General features: G+C 34.6%; 1 long non-coding RNA gene across 1 annotated transcript in view, besides 1 other annotated feature; it reads left to right on the top strand.

The window, feature by feature from the left end:
* Positions 1-4,371, top strand: part of LOC105374715 (uncharacterized) — a 41,147-nt gene extending 36,776 nt beyond the window's left edge. Inside the window, exon 3 of the long non-coding RNA NR_188269.1 lies at positions 1,068-4,371. This is a non-coding gene — a long non-coding RNA (uncharacterized LOC105374715). The remainder of the gene's footprint in view (positions 1-1,067) is intronic.
* Positions 3,470-3,971: an enhancer, noted in NCBI's record as "NANOG hESC enhancer chr5:33008763-33009264 (GRCh37/hg19 assembly coordinates)". NCBI's record gives its function as "activates a minimal SCP1, AML or CMV promoter by ChIP-STARR-seq in naive H9 embryonic stem cells {active_cell/tissue: H9 hESC(naive)}" and the evidence as "EXISTENCE:reporter gene assay evidence [ECO:0000049][PMID:30033119]".
* Positions 4,372-14,601: the final 10,230 nt, after the last annotated feature.

Here is a 14,601-nt window from a genome sequence, read left to right as displayed (position 1 = left end):
AAACCTATAGTGGATACACAAAAAAAACCAGAAAGGATTCAAAAGATACCATGACAGAAAATCATCATATCACAAAGGAAGACAGAAAGATAGGAAGGAGCAAAGGATCTGAAAAACAGCCAGAAAACAATTAACAAAATGCCAGTATTAAGTCTTTATTTGTCAGTAATTACCTTGAATATAAATGGATTAAATTCTCCTATTTACTGCCATTCTGGAATTTGTTTTTTTATAAGGAATTCTTGCACCCAAGAACCTGGCAGTCTGAACTTTGAAGACTCAAACCAGAGTTTGATATGCAGAGAGATAGGAAAGTCAACATTTAAACCAAAAAAAATTCTTGACTAAAAAGTGAAGAAAAATTGATCCACTTTAAGGGCACCACTTGGGGGGAATCTAGCTTCCAACTGGACCCTTTACACTTGTTTTTCAGCTGATAAAACCCCAAGTGCTTTGCCAAGACTAGCTCACCTGCCAGACATTCAGCAGGCTGGCAGAGGCCAGACATTCTCAAGAAGTAGAAGAGGTAATGAAAATTAAAGGGCATGCAAAGCCTGATGTTTTCCTGCATACTTCTCTTACCATAGATGCTTAAAAAAACAAAAACAAAAATAAAAAATAATTACTAAAAGCTATCACAGTACAATTTGCTGAGTCACTGAATTAAGGTTTTTTTTTAATAGAGCTATTTATTTCTAGAGGACTGTTGATTTTTAATAGAGATGTTACTATTTGAATCCAAGTGGGGTTTTTTTTGTCCACATATATATTCAAGCCCAAGGCTATGTCAAATAGCAGTTAGTTGTATGTCAAACACAAACAAATTATAAAAAGGAACACAATGTTTAAGGAAACCCTGAGCCTTATCGGAGCTCTTAAGTTGAAGAAATCATGTGCTGAGGATACTGCAGAAGAGTCTTAGACTTGGGAAAAAGATGCAGATTTCATCCTGACCCCTCTACTTAGTAGCAGTATGATTTGGGCTGGTCACTTAATGTTTCTGATTTTTAATTCTATCATGTGGGAAATGAGGATAAAAATGTATTATATGTCCTTGTGTCCCTCAGGTCATTGTTGAGAGACAAAATGAGATCATGTCTGGGAAAATACTTCTAAATTATCAACTCCCTTTCTATGGAAGAGGATGACCAAAGAAGGATGCACTCCTTGTCTGGAATTATGCCAGAGGTCTTAAAATGCTCAGAAATGAAATCAGCCTTCTTCCCTGTCCTAAGAGGCTCAGGTTTTCGGCAAGTAACTCATAAAATTAATGCTCCACTGAAAATAAAATCTGATTTGAGTAGTATCAGCACTTAGAAGACCTTTGGAGGCCGGGGGTATTTTCTCTTTTACAATGCTGTGAACAACATTCACTCCTGGAAAACACTCCAATGTCTTACATCTTGAGGCTGTGGGGATTTTTTTTTCTTTTGGTTTAAATGTTGCCTTTCCTATCTTTCTGCATATCAATTTTTCCCCTGCCCAAGTCACAGGCTTGGTAGTAACCATCATGTTTACTGCTGTTCCTTCACATGTGGTTCTCTGAGGCTTCTGAGCACCAGAATTTTATTAAACAGAGCTACTCACACCATAAAGATGGAATTCTGCCAGATCTGAATCATAGAATAACACCAGAATTGACTTCAGAAATCATCTTCTCTAAAGATTTGCAAGATTTTTAAACAGCACATGCCTTTGTAAAATGAAATCATCAGTGGAACACCGTATATAAAATAAAATTAATAAAAACTACTATGGCTGGAGAGGTGAAACTCTAACATATTACACAGTCTCCTGGGTTTTTTTGCAGATATTAAGGATCCACTGAACCATTTGAAAACTACCCTATATACTCCCCCTTTCCAGTGCTTCAGTCCCTTCTATAGTAATCACCACTGGATTGTTCAGTCTTTCAATATTTTCAGTGGTGCCTATCCTCCCAAGAAAGGCCATCTTAATTTGGGACAGCTTTAACTGTCTATTTGGAAAATCATTCTTATATTTTAATGGTCTCCTTGTAACCTCTATTTATTGTTACTAGAACAGAACTAGACTGTGCTCTATTCCATCTAAGTATTGGGGTCAATGATCATATTCCTCCACAAACTTATAGTTTTTTTACAAACTAAATATCCCCTGATTTTTTCAACTTTATCACAGTGTGAGAATATGTGGGCCTAATCTCTTTATTCTAATTTCTTTCCTTTGAACTTGCTTCACTTTGTCAATGTCAGTTTTAATTTGTGTGCCTAGAACTGTAAAAAGTAATCCCTATGTTGACTGTAATCATCAACTCTTTCACTTTGAACATTCTACCCCTGTTAATTTGGCCTATAATTGAATTTGATTTGGGGAAAACTTGTCGGAGCTTAGCCAACTAAATCCCCAATATCATCCTTGAATATGCTACTGCAGAACCAAATCTCCCATATTACAAACTTTTAAAATTGTTTTAATGACTTCATGTGGTCATTTTCCTTTGCCATGGCTTTTAAAGTCACATGGTTCTATTAGAAAGATTTCTAGGTCTCTTGTCATTTCTAGAATCTGGTTTGTTGGATTTGGCAAATCAATATCTGTATATTTGTTCACTTTTTATTCTGTCAATCGCAAACATGCCATCTGCTTAATAATTTCCCACAGATCTTTATTGATATATATTTTGTTGGGAAAGAATTTATCATTTTAGATCCAGAATATGTAATCATAGCTGTCCATTTATATCTGACCATAAAGAACTTTCCTACTATAGAATTTTTGAGATTTGGTGAGGGCTAACTAGAAGGCTGAAAGGATAGGAAAGCTGCTGAGTTTATTTGGTTACACACCAATGGTCCTGTAAGTCTGTAATTTCAAAAATCTACCCGAAAACAAGGGATTGTATCCACTGTTAAATGGATGAAGTTTTAAGCATCAGAAAATCAGTCTGAATTTTCATTATTCCCTAGAAATTTTCTCAACTTTGTGAGTTTCATCCAGGTACTTTGCCGTTCTTGAACATATTTTCATGTGGTTTTATAATATTTATTCAACATTATTTTCCATTAGTTCTCTAATTTTAATTGTTGGTAAGCATTTCGATGTGTAGCTATTACATGGTGCAGAACTGATTTATCCACGTTAATGTCTGAGGAGACCATGACCCATTTTATCTGCTGCGTGGTCAGCCCTGGTATTCATGGCAGGTTGTCTGAATATTTCTGATGAAGTCTTTAAGTACATGTAATTCTGAAAACACATTCCCATTCAGTAAGACTTATACAGGATGGTAAGCCTAACATGGCAAAAGGTTTCTAAAAAATTCCATAAACATTAAGCATATTTATGTCATAGCATTAAGTTTGGTCAATTTGAAACTTACCGTATTGTAGTATAAGAGGCATTTTGTTTGCTTGTGTTTACTTTCCCAGGAGTAAATGCGTTTTGGTTAACCACAATGGCAAACTTAGTCAAGACATTTATGTCAACAAATCCTACTGCTTAACAAAGTCACATTCTTAGTTTCTGGGACAGCAGACTGGATTCTAAGTAATAAGGTGTTTATAAGGTGTGCTGTAAATCTGGGACTATAAACATGTCTACTTTTCTGTTAAACCTGCTGCTGTGCGTGAGGTACAATAAGCTCTCTTTTCAGTTTTATGGTGGCCAGTATGTTGGCTTGCCAGTCTTGATTGCTGTTGATTCTACTGTTCCCAAAGCCTCCTGCCAAGCTCTTGACCCAAGTCACGCTCCCTGGTGATGTCATAATGCTGCTACGAATTTGCTCATTCACTGTACCTGCAGGGATGCCCCAAGAGTCACATACCTTCCCTGTTAGTCACTCGTTGGAGAATAACACCTTGAAATGAGCAGGGCCTCTCCTTCCCCTGATTTCAAAGCCATTACATTTTCAGAATTTTCATAATGAGTTTATAGATACAGTAAGATGACTATTACCTTTATGGAAATTATTTTTAATTTGTTTTTTTCTCAAAAATAACACTATTAATTTTGTTTGGACCAAAAAAATTTTCTCCACATTCATAAGCAAAATTTATTTCAATTAAACACATATTTATGAAATACAGTGCCTGGTATTTGAAATCATCACCATTGTTATGTATGCCAAATATCTGGAGGAAAAGAAGAGAAAGTGGTCATAGATCTGAATATTTAAATTACATGATGTTGAATACATCTATTTGGAAAAATCTTATTAATTCTAAATTCTTTACTTTTTACCCAAATATTGGGCATTTATATAGATATAGCTTGCATCTTGCCTTACTTTACAATTTAATTCCCCCTACCAAATTGCTCAAACCATACTTCTCCAAAGATTCTATGAGTTAGACCAAATATAAAAACAAAAACAAACAAACAAACAAAAAACCCGAACAAAAATTATTTAAGGCGGGGCTCAGTGGCTAATGCCTTTAATCCTAGCACTTGGGGAGGCCAAGGTGGGAATATCTATTGAGCCCATGAGTTCAAGACCAGCCTAGGCAATATAGTGAGACCCCCATCTCTACAAAAAATAAAAAGCTCACCAAGGCTAGGTGAGCTTTTTTTTTTTTTTTTTTTTTTTCTGGGAGGCCAAGACAGGAGAATCCCTCGAGCCTCGGAGTTTGAGAGCAGCCTGGGCAACATGGTGAGACCCTGTCCCTAAAAATAAGTTTAAAAAAATTAGCTGGGCATGGTAGCATGCACCTATAGCACCACCTACTTGGGAGGCTAAGGCAGGAGGATTGCCTGACCCCAGGAGTTTGAGACTGCAGTGAGCCATGATCATGCTGCCACACTCTAGCCAGAGTCAAAGAGTGAGACTCTGTCTCAATAAATAAAAGAAAAATAGCCAGCATGGTGGTGGATGCCTATTGTCTCAGCTACTTAGAGGCTGAGGCAGGAGGATTGCTTGAGCCCAGGAGGTCAAGGCTGCAGTGAGCTTTGATTGTACCACTGCACTCAAGTCTGGGTGACAGAGCAAATCTCTGTCTCAAAAAAATTATTTAAAACACACTGGTTGTGAGCTCAATGCAAAACAAATACCTCATATATTTATATAATTTTTCTTTCTCAGATGAACACTACCAAGATAACGTTGGTGTTTTAACCAGGTATGAATAATGGCCCAAATACAAATGACTAAAAACCACAAGTTAACTTTTCATAGACTATAATAGATTTGGAGCTAACATTCTGTCTTTTCATATATCAGCATTTTTCCTCTGACATGTTACACTGAAAAAAAGAGTTTTTAGGTAGAAGGTTTTCTTCTACCTTCAGGAGAAAATTCCATCAGAAACTAAAATCTTTATCCAAAGACTTAGAGGCTACTTTTGAACAGTTTTTTGAGTTAATGTGTCTATGATTGCATCTATGTTTGACATTTAATTTGGAAAATAACATAAATTAGCCAAAAACCATTTCCTTAAACTGGTTTTCAAACTTGAGTGATATAAGATGTTTTGCAAAAAGGAAAAAGTTCTTGTTGATCTCCCAATGTTAAAATATTTTTATCATGCTGTTAAACCTGTTGATCTTATATAATAAAACCTAAATAAATGTATAAAGCAAAAATAAAGTCATAAAATTTATAGAATTCAAATTAGCAGTATTAATTTAATGTGACTTATATGGTTGCTTTAATTATACGAAATTACTATAATACTTGCACTATGAATATGATAATATTTTCAATATCACTAGACTATAAGCTTCATGAAGACAGAAACCATGTCTGGTTTTTCTTACCATTGTGAGATCTTAGGAGGAGAAAATGAATTAATGGTCCTTATTTATATAAGCAACTTTTAAAATATTGAGCAGGCCAAAATGTACAACACCTTACATTGAAAACTACCAAACATTATTGGGAGGAGTTAATAGGAGCTAAATAAATGGAAAGATATACCATGTTCATGGATGGTAAGACACTATGTAAACATGTTAATTTCCCCCAAATTAATGTATCAATTCAGTGTAATCCTACTCAAAATCCCATTTTGAAGAAATTAATAAGTTAATTCTAAAATTCATATGGAAATGCAAAGGCCAATGAGTAGACAAGGAAATATTTTAAAAGAATTAATTTTAAAACTAGAGGCTTTACTAACATATATTAAGATCCATTATAAACCATACTAATTAGAAATGTATAGTAATGATGAAATTATAGTCAATTTCAGAATTGAGACAGAATAGAAAGTCCATAAACAAAGTAACAGATGTATATTTACCTGATTTATGACAAAGTGACACTGCAGTGAAGCGCAGAAAGAATGGTCTTTTCTTTTTTTTTTTTTTTTGAGACGGTCTCTCACTCTGTCGCCCAGGCTGGAGTGCAGTGGTGTGATCTTGGCTCACTGCAAACTCCGCCTCCCGGGTTCACGCCATTCTCCTGCCTCAGCCTCCTGAGTAGCTGGGACTACAGCCACCACGCCCGGCGATTTTTTTTTTTTTGTATTTTAGTAGAGACGGGTTTCACCATGTTAGCCAGATTGGTCTCAATCTCCTGACCTCGTGATCCACCCACCTCGGCCTCCCAAAGTGCTGGGATTACAGGCATGAGCCACCGCGCCTGGCCAAGAATGGTCTTTTCAATAAGTAATGGTAGGTCAATTAAATGTCCATATGAAAAAATGTTTTTGACCCCCTACTTCACTCCATTGTCGACAAAACAGTCAAACTCTAAAATATTTAAAGGGATTTATTCTGAGCCAAATATGAGTGATCAGTGGCCCATAACACAACCCTCAGAAGATCCTGAGAACATGTGCCCAAGGTGGTCAGGCCACCTCTTGGTTTTATAGATTTTATGGAGACATAAAGTGTCCATTGATACATGTAAGATGTACATTGGTTTGGTCTGGAAAAGCAGAACAACTGGAAGTGGGGGCTTCAAAGTCATAGGCAGATTCAAAGATTTTCTGATTGACAAATTGTTGAAAGAGATATTATTAATAGAAAATAATGTCTAGGTTACAATAAGGGAGAATGGAGACCAAGGTTTTGTCATGCAGATAAAGCCTCCATGTAGCAGGCTTCAGAGATAATAGATTGTAAATGTTTCTTATCAGACTTAAAGAGTCTGTTCTATCAGTAATTCCAAAAGGGAAAAGAGTATAGTGAGGGATGTTCAGTACTCCATTCCCGTCATGGCCTTAACTTGTTTTTCACGTTATTTTGGAATGCCCTTTGCCAAGAGAAGGGGTCCATTCAGATGATTGGGAGGCCTTTGAATTTTATTTTTTGTTTACACCGTATACAAAATTCGATCTAGATTGATTGCAGACCTAAATGTAAAATGTAAACCAAAACATTTAAAGTAAAAATAAAGGAAATACCTTTGGAGGTCTGAAATAGCCAAAGAGTGCTTAAACAGCACACCAAAAAATTTTTTAAATGATAATCTATAGATCTATAATAAAGCAAAAACAGCGTAATAAAAATATAATGACTTCTGCTGTTGTAGTAGATTAACAACAAGAAGAGACTTACCCTACCATCTGAAATTTTTAAAAACAGGAAAAACGCATTAAATTACCATTTTCAATACACTAGAATTCAGGGAACAAAGGGCAGTGTGATCTCTGAAAGGTGGGGAACAAATGAGATGAGCCCTTCTGTCGCCCTAGCTTAATCTCTTGAGAGTTTACAGTCTGCAGTACAAGGTGGGGGATCCCAGGTGAAGCCCAGCACACTTCCTGCATTGAAGAGACAGTGCTAACTGACAAGACAAAGGAAGGTTGAATTTACCAGACAGATTACTTGAGAGAGCTGCACAGAAAAAATCATTCTAAAGATAAGTACTTAACTGTATACTGATTGGTACATACATACAAGGAAACCACTTCTGACCAGGAAAAGAATAAAAAGGTCAGAATATGCCTGTTTGCACTAGCCAGACAGGTAGACCTGATCATTAATAGGACATGGGAAATAACTCAAAAGGAAGTTTCTTCAGTAAAGGGAAGATTAGTCCTAGACTAAATGCTCCACTGATTCTACCTAACAACTCTTAAAAAGTGAACCCAAAAGGGTTAAACAGTTTATGAGTGACTTAACTACATCCCAAGACATAGTTTTAGTCATTGAAATACAAAAATATCCAGAGCACAAAGAGGGTAAAACCACAATGTTTGGCATTCAATTAAAGATTACAAGGCATACAGGTGGTAGCTCAAGGCTGTAATCCGAGCACTTTGGGAGGTCAAGGCGGGTGGATCACCTGAGGTCAGGAGTTCAAGCCCAGCCTGACCAACATGGAGAAACCCCGTCTCTACTAAAAATACAAAAATTAGTTGGGCATGATGGCACACACCTGTAATCCCAGCTACTCAGGAAGCTGAGACATGAGAATGGCTTGAACCCGGGAGGCAGAAGTTGCGGTGAGCCGAGATCATACCACTGCACTCCAGTCTGGGCAATAGAGTGAGACTCTGTCTCCAAAGGAAAAAAAAAGAGATTACAAGGCATACAAAGAAGCAAGAAAATATATCTCACACCAGCACAAAAATCAACCAATTGATGCCAACTAGCAGTGACACAGATGTTAGACTTAGCAGATGGGGCATTAATATAGTTATTGTTATAACTATATATTTTCAATAAATTAATCAGAGATGAAAGTTTTTTTAAAAATCAAATCAAATGTTGAGAGATACATTTTAGTAGAAAAAAAGATGAATGAAGTTGAAGGCAAAATAATGGAAACTAACCAAATGAAACACAGATAAATTTTTTTAAATTTTAATAAAGAGAGCATCAGTGAGATGTACGACAAATTCAAGCAGCCTGTTATATGTATAACTAGAGTCCCCAAAGGAAGGTGGATAAGGCGCAAAAGATAGTTGAAGAAATAACGATGAAACTATAAACCCATGGATCAAAAAACTCCATAAACCCCAAGCCCAAGATACGTGAAGAAAACTATACCAAGACAAATAATAACCAAATTGCTTAAAACCATTGAGAAAAATTGTGATAAAGAAAAACTCCTAAATGCAATCAGAGAAAAAAAATAACACATTATATGTGGAGAAACACAGAAAAGGATGTCGACAAGTTTCTCAGTGGAAAAAAGCACAAGTAAAAAGATGGTAGAGCTGCATCTTTAAAGTACTGAAAGGAAAAATAAAAAAAAAATCAAGCTACAAGTTTATACCCAGCAAAACTATCTTTTAAAATAAATATTTATCACAACCGAACTTCAGATAATAGAAAATGATACTGGATAGAAATCTGGAATTACACAAAGGAATGAAGATAATCAGAAATAGAAATGACATGGTAAATATATAATATTTGTTTAATTTTCATATCTTATTAAGCACAATGATAACACTGTATTGTGGGATATATACATACAACAAATAAGATGTGTAAAAAAAATAGCATTTAAGCCAGAAGGAGAGAAATGAATGTGTGCTATTGAATGTTATATGCGAAATATTATAATCTCACTTGAAGGTAAATTGTAGTAGTTTAAAGATGTGTGCTATAAACCCTAAAGCAACTACTAATATGATGAATCAGTTATAGCTAATGACCCAACGAGGGATAAAATTGAATTATAAAAAATTCAATAAAAACAATTAATTAAAAGGCAAAGGTTCAAGTCATACAAAGTATGCTGTCTGACCACAAGTGAAATAAATTAGATATCAATAAAAGAAAGGAATCCAGAAAATCCTCTAATATTTAGAACCTAGTAACACCATTATTTGACCCATCAATCAGAAAAGAAATCAAAAGAGAAATTAGATAGTATTTTGAACTCAATAGCAGTAAAAAATACAACTATGGCATGTAGCTAAAGCATCTATTTAGAGAGGGAATTTATAGAACTAAATGTCCATGGTAGAATGTAAGAAAGGTCCCAAATCAATAATATCAGTTTCCACCTTAGAAAACTAGAAAACAAACCTACTAAAGCTAAACAGAAGAAAGGAATAATAAAGATTAGAATAGAAATGAATTAAGAGAAAAACAATAGAGAATATCAATGAAACCAAAAGCTGGTTCTATAAGAAGACCAATAAAATAAATAAAAAACTTTAGCCAGACTGACCAGGATAAAAGAAAGATGGCACAAATTACCAACTTGGATAATGAGAGGCTGACATTAAAAATGTAAAGGAATACGAACAACTTTATGTCAATGAATTATACACATAGATGAAATAGACAAATTATCTGAAAGCTCAAACTAGCAAAGCTTAAGTAAGAAAAAATAGACAACCCGAGTAGCTCATATCTATTAAGGAAATTGAATTTGTAGTTAAAAACCTTCCCAGAAAAAAAAATAAAAAATAAAAAATAAAAAAAAATAAACCTCCAAGCCCCAAAGACTTCACTAGAGAATTCAACCAATCTTTTATGGAAGAAATAATAGCAGTTCCACACTAACTCTTCTAAAAACATTCAGAAAAGCGAATATTTCCTAAATCATTCTATGAAGCTAGCATTGTCATAATATCAAAACCAAATAAGACATTATAACAAAATGAAACTTCATTATAACAAAATGAAAATGATGTTTTAACATATGAAACTTATGCTATATCCCTCATATATGTAGATTCACACATTGTTAACAATTTCTTGTAAGTTGATAACAATTTATTGTGAGTGCAATAAGAGAAAAAAATCATCCTCATTGAAAGGTAGAGTAAAATTCTTTATTTGCTGAAAATTATTATCTATATAGACAGTCCAATGTAATCTACAGAAACCTACTAGAACTAGTAAATTAATTTAACAAGATTGCTGGATACATAATCAATATATAAATATCAATTGTACTTCTATATACTATTCATGAACAATTTGAGGTTTAAATTTAAAGGTTGCTGTTTATAACAATATAATAATACAAAATATTTAGGTATAAATCTAACCAATATTAGGCAAGATTTGTATGCTGAAACTATAAAACATTGTCATGAGAATTGAAAACCTAAATAGAAAACCTAAATATATTTTGTTCATGAGTCTAAAGTTGTTACAATATCAGTTAAGTTATTGTTATCAGTTTTTTCAAATTAATCTATATGTTCAAAGCAATCCCAATCAAAAGGCCAGCAGGCTTTTTGTATAAATTGATAAACTGATTCTAAAATTAATACAGAAATGCGAAGGATCCAGAGTAGTCAAAAACTACTTTGAAAACAGTTGAAGTTCCAATACTAGCTGATTTCAATAATAAATATTTAAATTCCCAAATCAGGCAAGGACACAACAATGACAACAGAAAACTACAAGCCATTATCCATGATGAATAAAGATGCAAAAATCCTCAACAAAATACTAGCAAACTGAATCCAACAGCACATCAAAAAGAGAATATATCACAATCAAGCAGGTTTTGCTCCAGAGATGAAATAATGTTTCAACATACACAAATCAATAAATGTGATTCACTGTATAAACAGAACTAAAAACAAAAACCATATGATCATCTCAATATATACAGAAAAGGCAGTCAGTAAAATCCAACATCCCTTCATAATGAAAGCCCTCAACAAATTAGGCATCAAAGAAACATACCTCAAAATAATAAGAGCCATATATGACAAGCCCGTAACTAACATCATACTGAATGGGGAAAAGTTGAAAACATTCCCCCTTAGAACTGGACCAAGACAAGGATGTCCATTCCCACCACTCCTATTCAACATAGTACTGAAGTCCTAGCCAGAACAGTCAGGCAAGAGAAAGAAATAAAAGACATCCAAGTTAGAAAAGAGAAAGTCAAGTTATCTCTGTTCACTGATAACATGATCATATACCTAGAAAACCCTAAAGATTCTTCCATAAGACCCTAAACTTGATAAATGACTTCAGTCGAGTTTCTGGATACAAAATCCATGTACAAAAATCAGTAGCATGTCTCTACAACAAAAACATTCGAGCTGAGAATGAAATCAATAACGCAATGCCATTTATAATAGCCACCAAAAAATAAAATGCCTAGGAATACATTTAACCAAGGAGGTGAAAGATCTCTGCAAGGAGAACTACAAGACACTGCTGAAAGAAATCATAGATGACACAAACAAATGGAAAAACATCCCATGCTCATGGACTGGAAGAATCAATATTGTTAAAATATCCATACTGCCCAAAGCAATCTACAGAATCAATGCAATTTCTATCAAATTGCCAGTATCATTTTTCACAGAATTAGAAAAAATGCTAAATGTCATATGTAACCAAAAAAGAGCCCAAATAGCCCAAGCAATTCTAAGCAAAAAGAACAATCTGGAGAAATCAAATTGCCTGACTTCAAATTATACTAAAAGGCTGTAGTAACTAAAACAGCATGGTACTGGAACAAAAATAGACATGGATCAGAATAGAGAACCCCAGAAATAAAGCTACATACCTACGCACCTCAACCAAGTCAACAAAAATAAGCAATGGGGGAAAGAACACTCTATTCAATAAATGGTGCTGTGAAAATTGGCTAGCCATACACAGAAGAATGAAACTAGATCCCTATCTCTTATGACATAAAAAAAATTAACTTAACATGAATTAGACTTAAATGTAAGACGTGAAACTATTAAAAATTGAGAAGAAAATCTAGGAAAACTCTTCTGGACATTGGCCTAGACAAAGAATTTATGATGAAGCCCCCAAAAGCAAATGCAACAAAAACAAAAATAGACAAATGGGACTTACTTAAACTAAAAAGCTTCTGCACAGCAAAAGAAATAATCAACAGAGTAAAAGATGACCTACAGAATGGGAGAAAATATTTGCAAATTATCACTCTGACAAAGGACTAGTATCCAGAATCGACAAGGAACTCAAAAACAAGATATCATCTTACACCAGTCGGAATAGCTATTATTACAGAGTCAAAAAAACAACAGACATTGGCATGGATGTGGAGAAAAGGGAATGCTTGTACACTGTTGGTGGGGCTGTAAATTAGTTCAACCTCTGTGGAAAACAATATGCATATTTCTCAAAAATATTTCTCCAAAAACTAAAAACAGAACTACCATTTGACCCAGCAACCCCCCTGCTAGGTATCTACCCAGAGGAAGACAAAGTCATTATACAAAGAGACCTGCACTAGTGTGACCAAATCCAAAAAATATATAATTATGATTCACAAAAGCAAAATCATGGAACCTACCTAAGTGTCCATCGACAGTTGACTGGAAAAATAAAATGTGTGGTATATATATACCATGGAATACCACATAGTACCATATAAAATATCCATACTGCCCAAAGCAATCTACAGAATCAATGCAATCTCTATCAAATTACCAATATCATTGGTTAAAGAAAATTAAATCATATTCTTTGCAGCAACATGGATGGAGCTGAAGGCCATTATTGTAAGTGAACTAACTCAGAAACAGAAAATTAATACTCCATGTTCTCACTTATAAGTGGGAGCTCAGCAATGGGTACACATGGACATAAAGATGGGAATAATAGACACTGGGAACTTCAAAATGGGGGAGGGGTTTTGTGAGAGACAAGAGTTGAAAAATTACCCATTGGGTACAATGTTCACTATTTGGGTAATGGGTACTCTAGAAACCCAATCCCCACCAGTATGCAATATACCCATGTAACACACATGCACAATACTGTTGAATCTAAAATAAGATATAATTAAAATAATAATAATAATTGATATTTCATTAATAAATAATGGATATATTAATAAATGTAATAAAGCTGCAATAATTGAAACACTTGTAGTGTTGGCATCAAGATATTAATAGATAAATTGATCTAGACCAATGAAAGAGAATAGAGTTTAGAAATAGATCATACATTTGGACAACTGTTTAGCTTTGGTGGGAAAAAACCTAGATGACTTAAGGCATAGTGATGACTTTTTAGATATAACACCAAATCCATGATTGATCAAATAAATTATTGAAAAGCTAGACTTTATTAAAATTAAAATCTTCTTCTCTGCAAGAGATACTGTCAAGAGAATAACAAGTCATTGACCTGAAGAAAATATTTGTGAAAGATATGTCTGATAAAGAGCTGGTATCCAAAATATACCAAAGTAACTGTCCTAGTTCATTTGTGTTGCTATAAAGGAATGCTTAAGACTGGGTGATTTATGAACTTTATAAAAAAAGTTTGTTTGGCTTGCATTTCTGCAGGCTGTACATACTGTGAAGCATAGCACCAGCATCTGCTTCTGGTGAGAATCTCAGGCTACTTTCACCCATGGCAGAAGACCAAAGGGAGCCAGCATGTGCAGAGATCACATGCTGAAAGAGGAGGCAAGAGAGAAGAGGGGAGGTGCTAGAGTCTTTTTAACAACCAGCACTCATGGCAACTAGTAGAGCAAGAACTCACTCATTCCTGTGAGGACAGCATCAAGACATTCATGAGGGATCCGTCCTCATGATCCAAACATCTCTCATTAGGCCCCACTTTCAACATTGGGGATCAATTCAGCATGAGATTTGGAAGGGTCAAATAAACCAAAGTATAGCACTGTTAAAGCTCAACAATGAGAAAATGAACCTGATTTTTAAATGGGCAAAAGGCATGAACAGACACCTTATCAAAGAAGATATACAGATGCCAGGTAAGCATATGAAAAAATGTTCAACATCATATGTCATT

The sequence above is a fragment of the Homo sapiens genome, chromosome 5 (genome assembly GCF_000001405.40).
Source record: "Homo sapiens chromosome 5, GRCh38.p14 Primary Assembly".
Lineage (NCBI taxonomy): Eukaryota > Metazoa > Chordata > Mammalia > Primates > Hominidae > Homo > Homo sapiens.
Note: the sequence above shows the minus strand (reverse complement) of the source record. Positions and strands in the feature narration are given on the sequence as shown.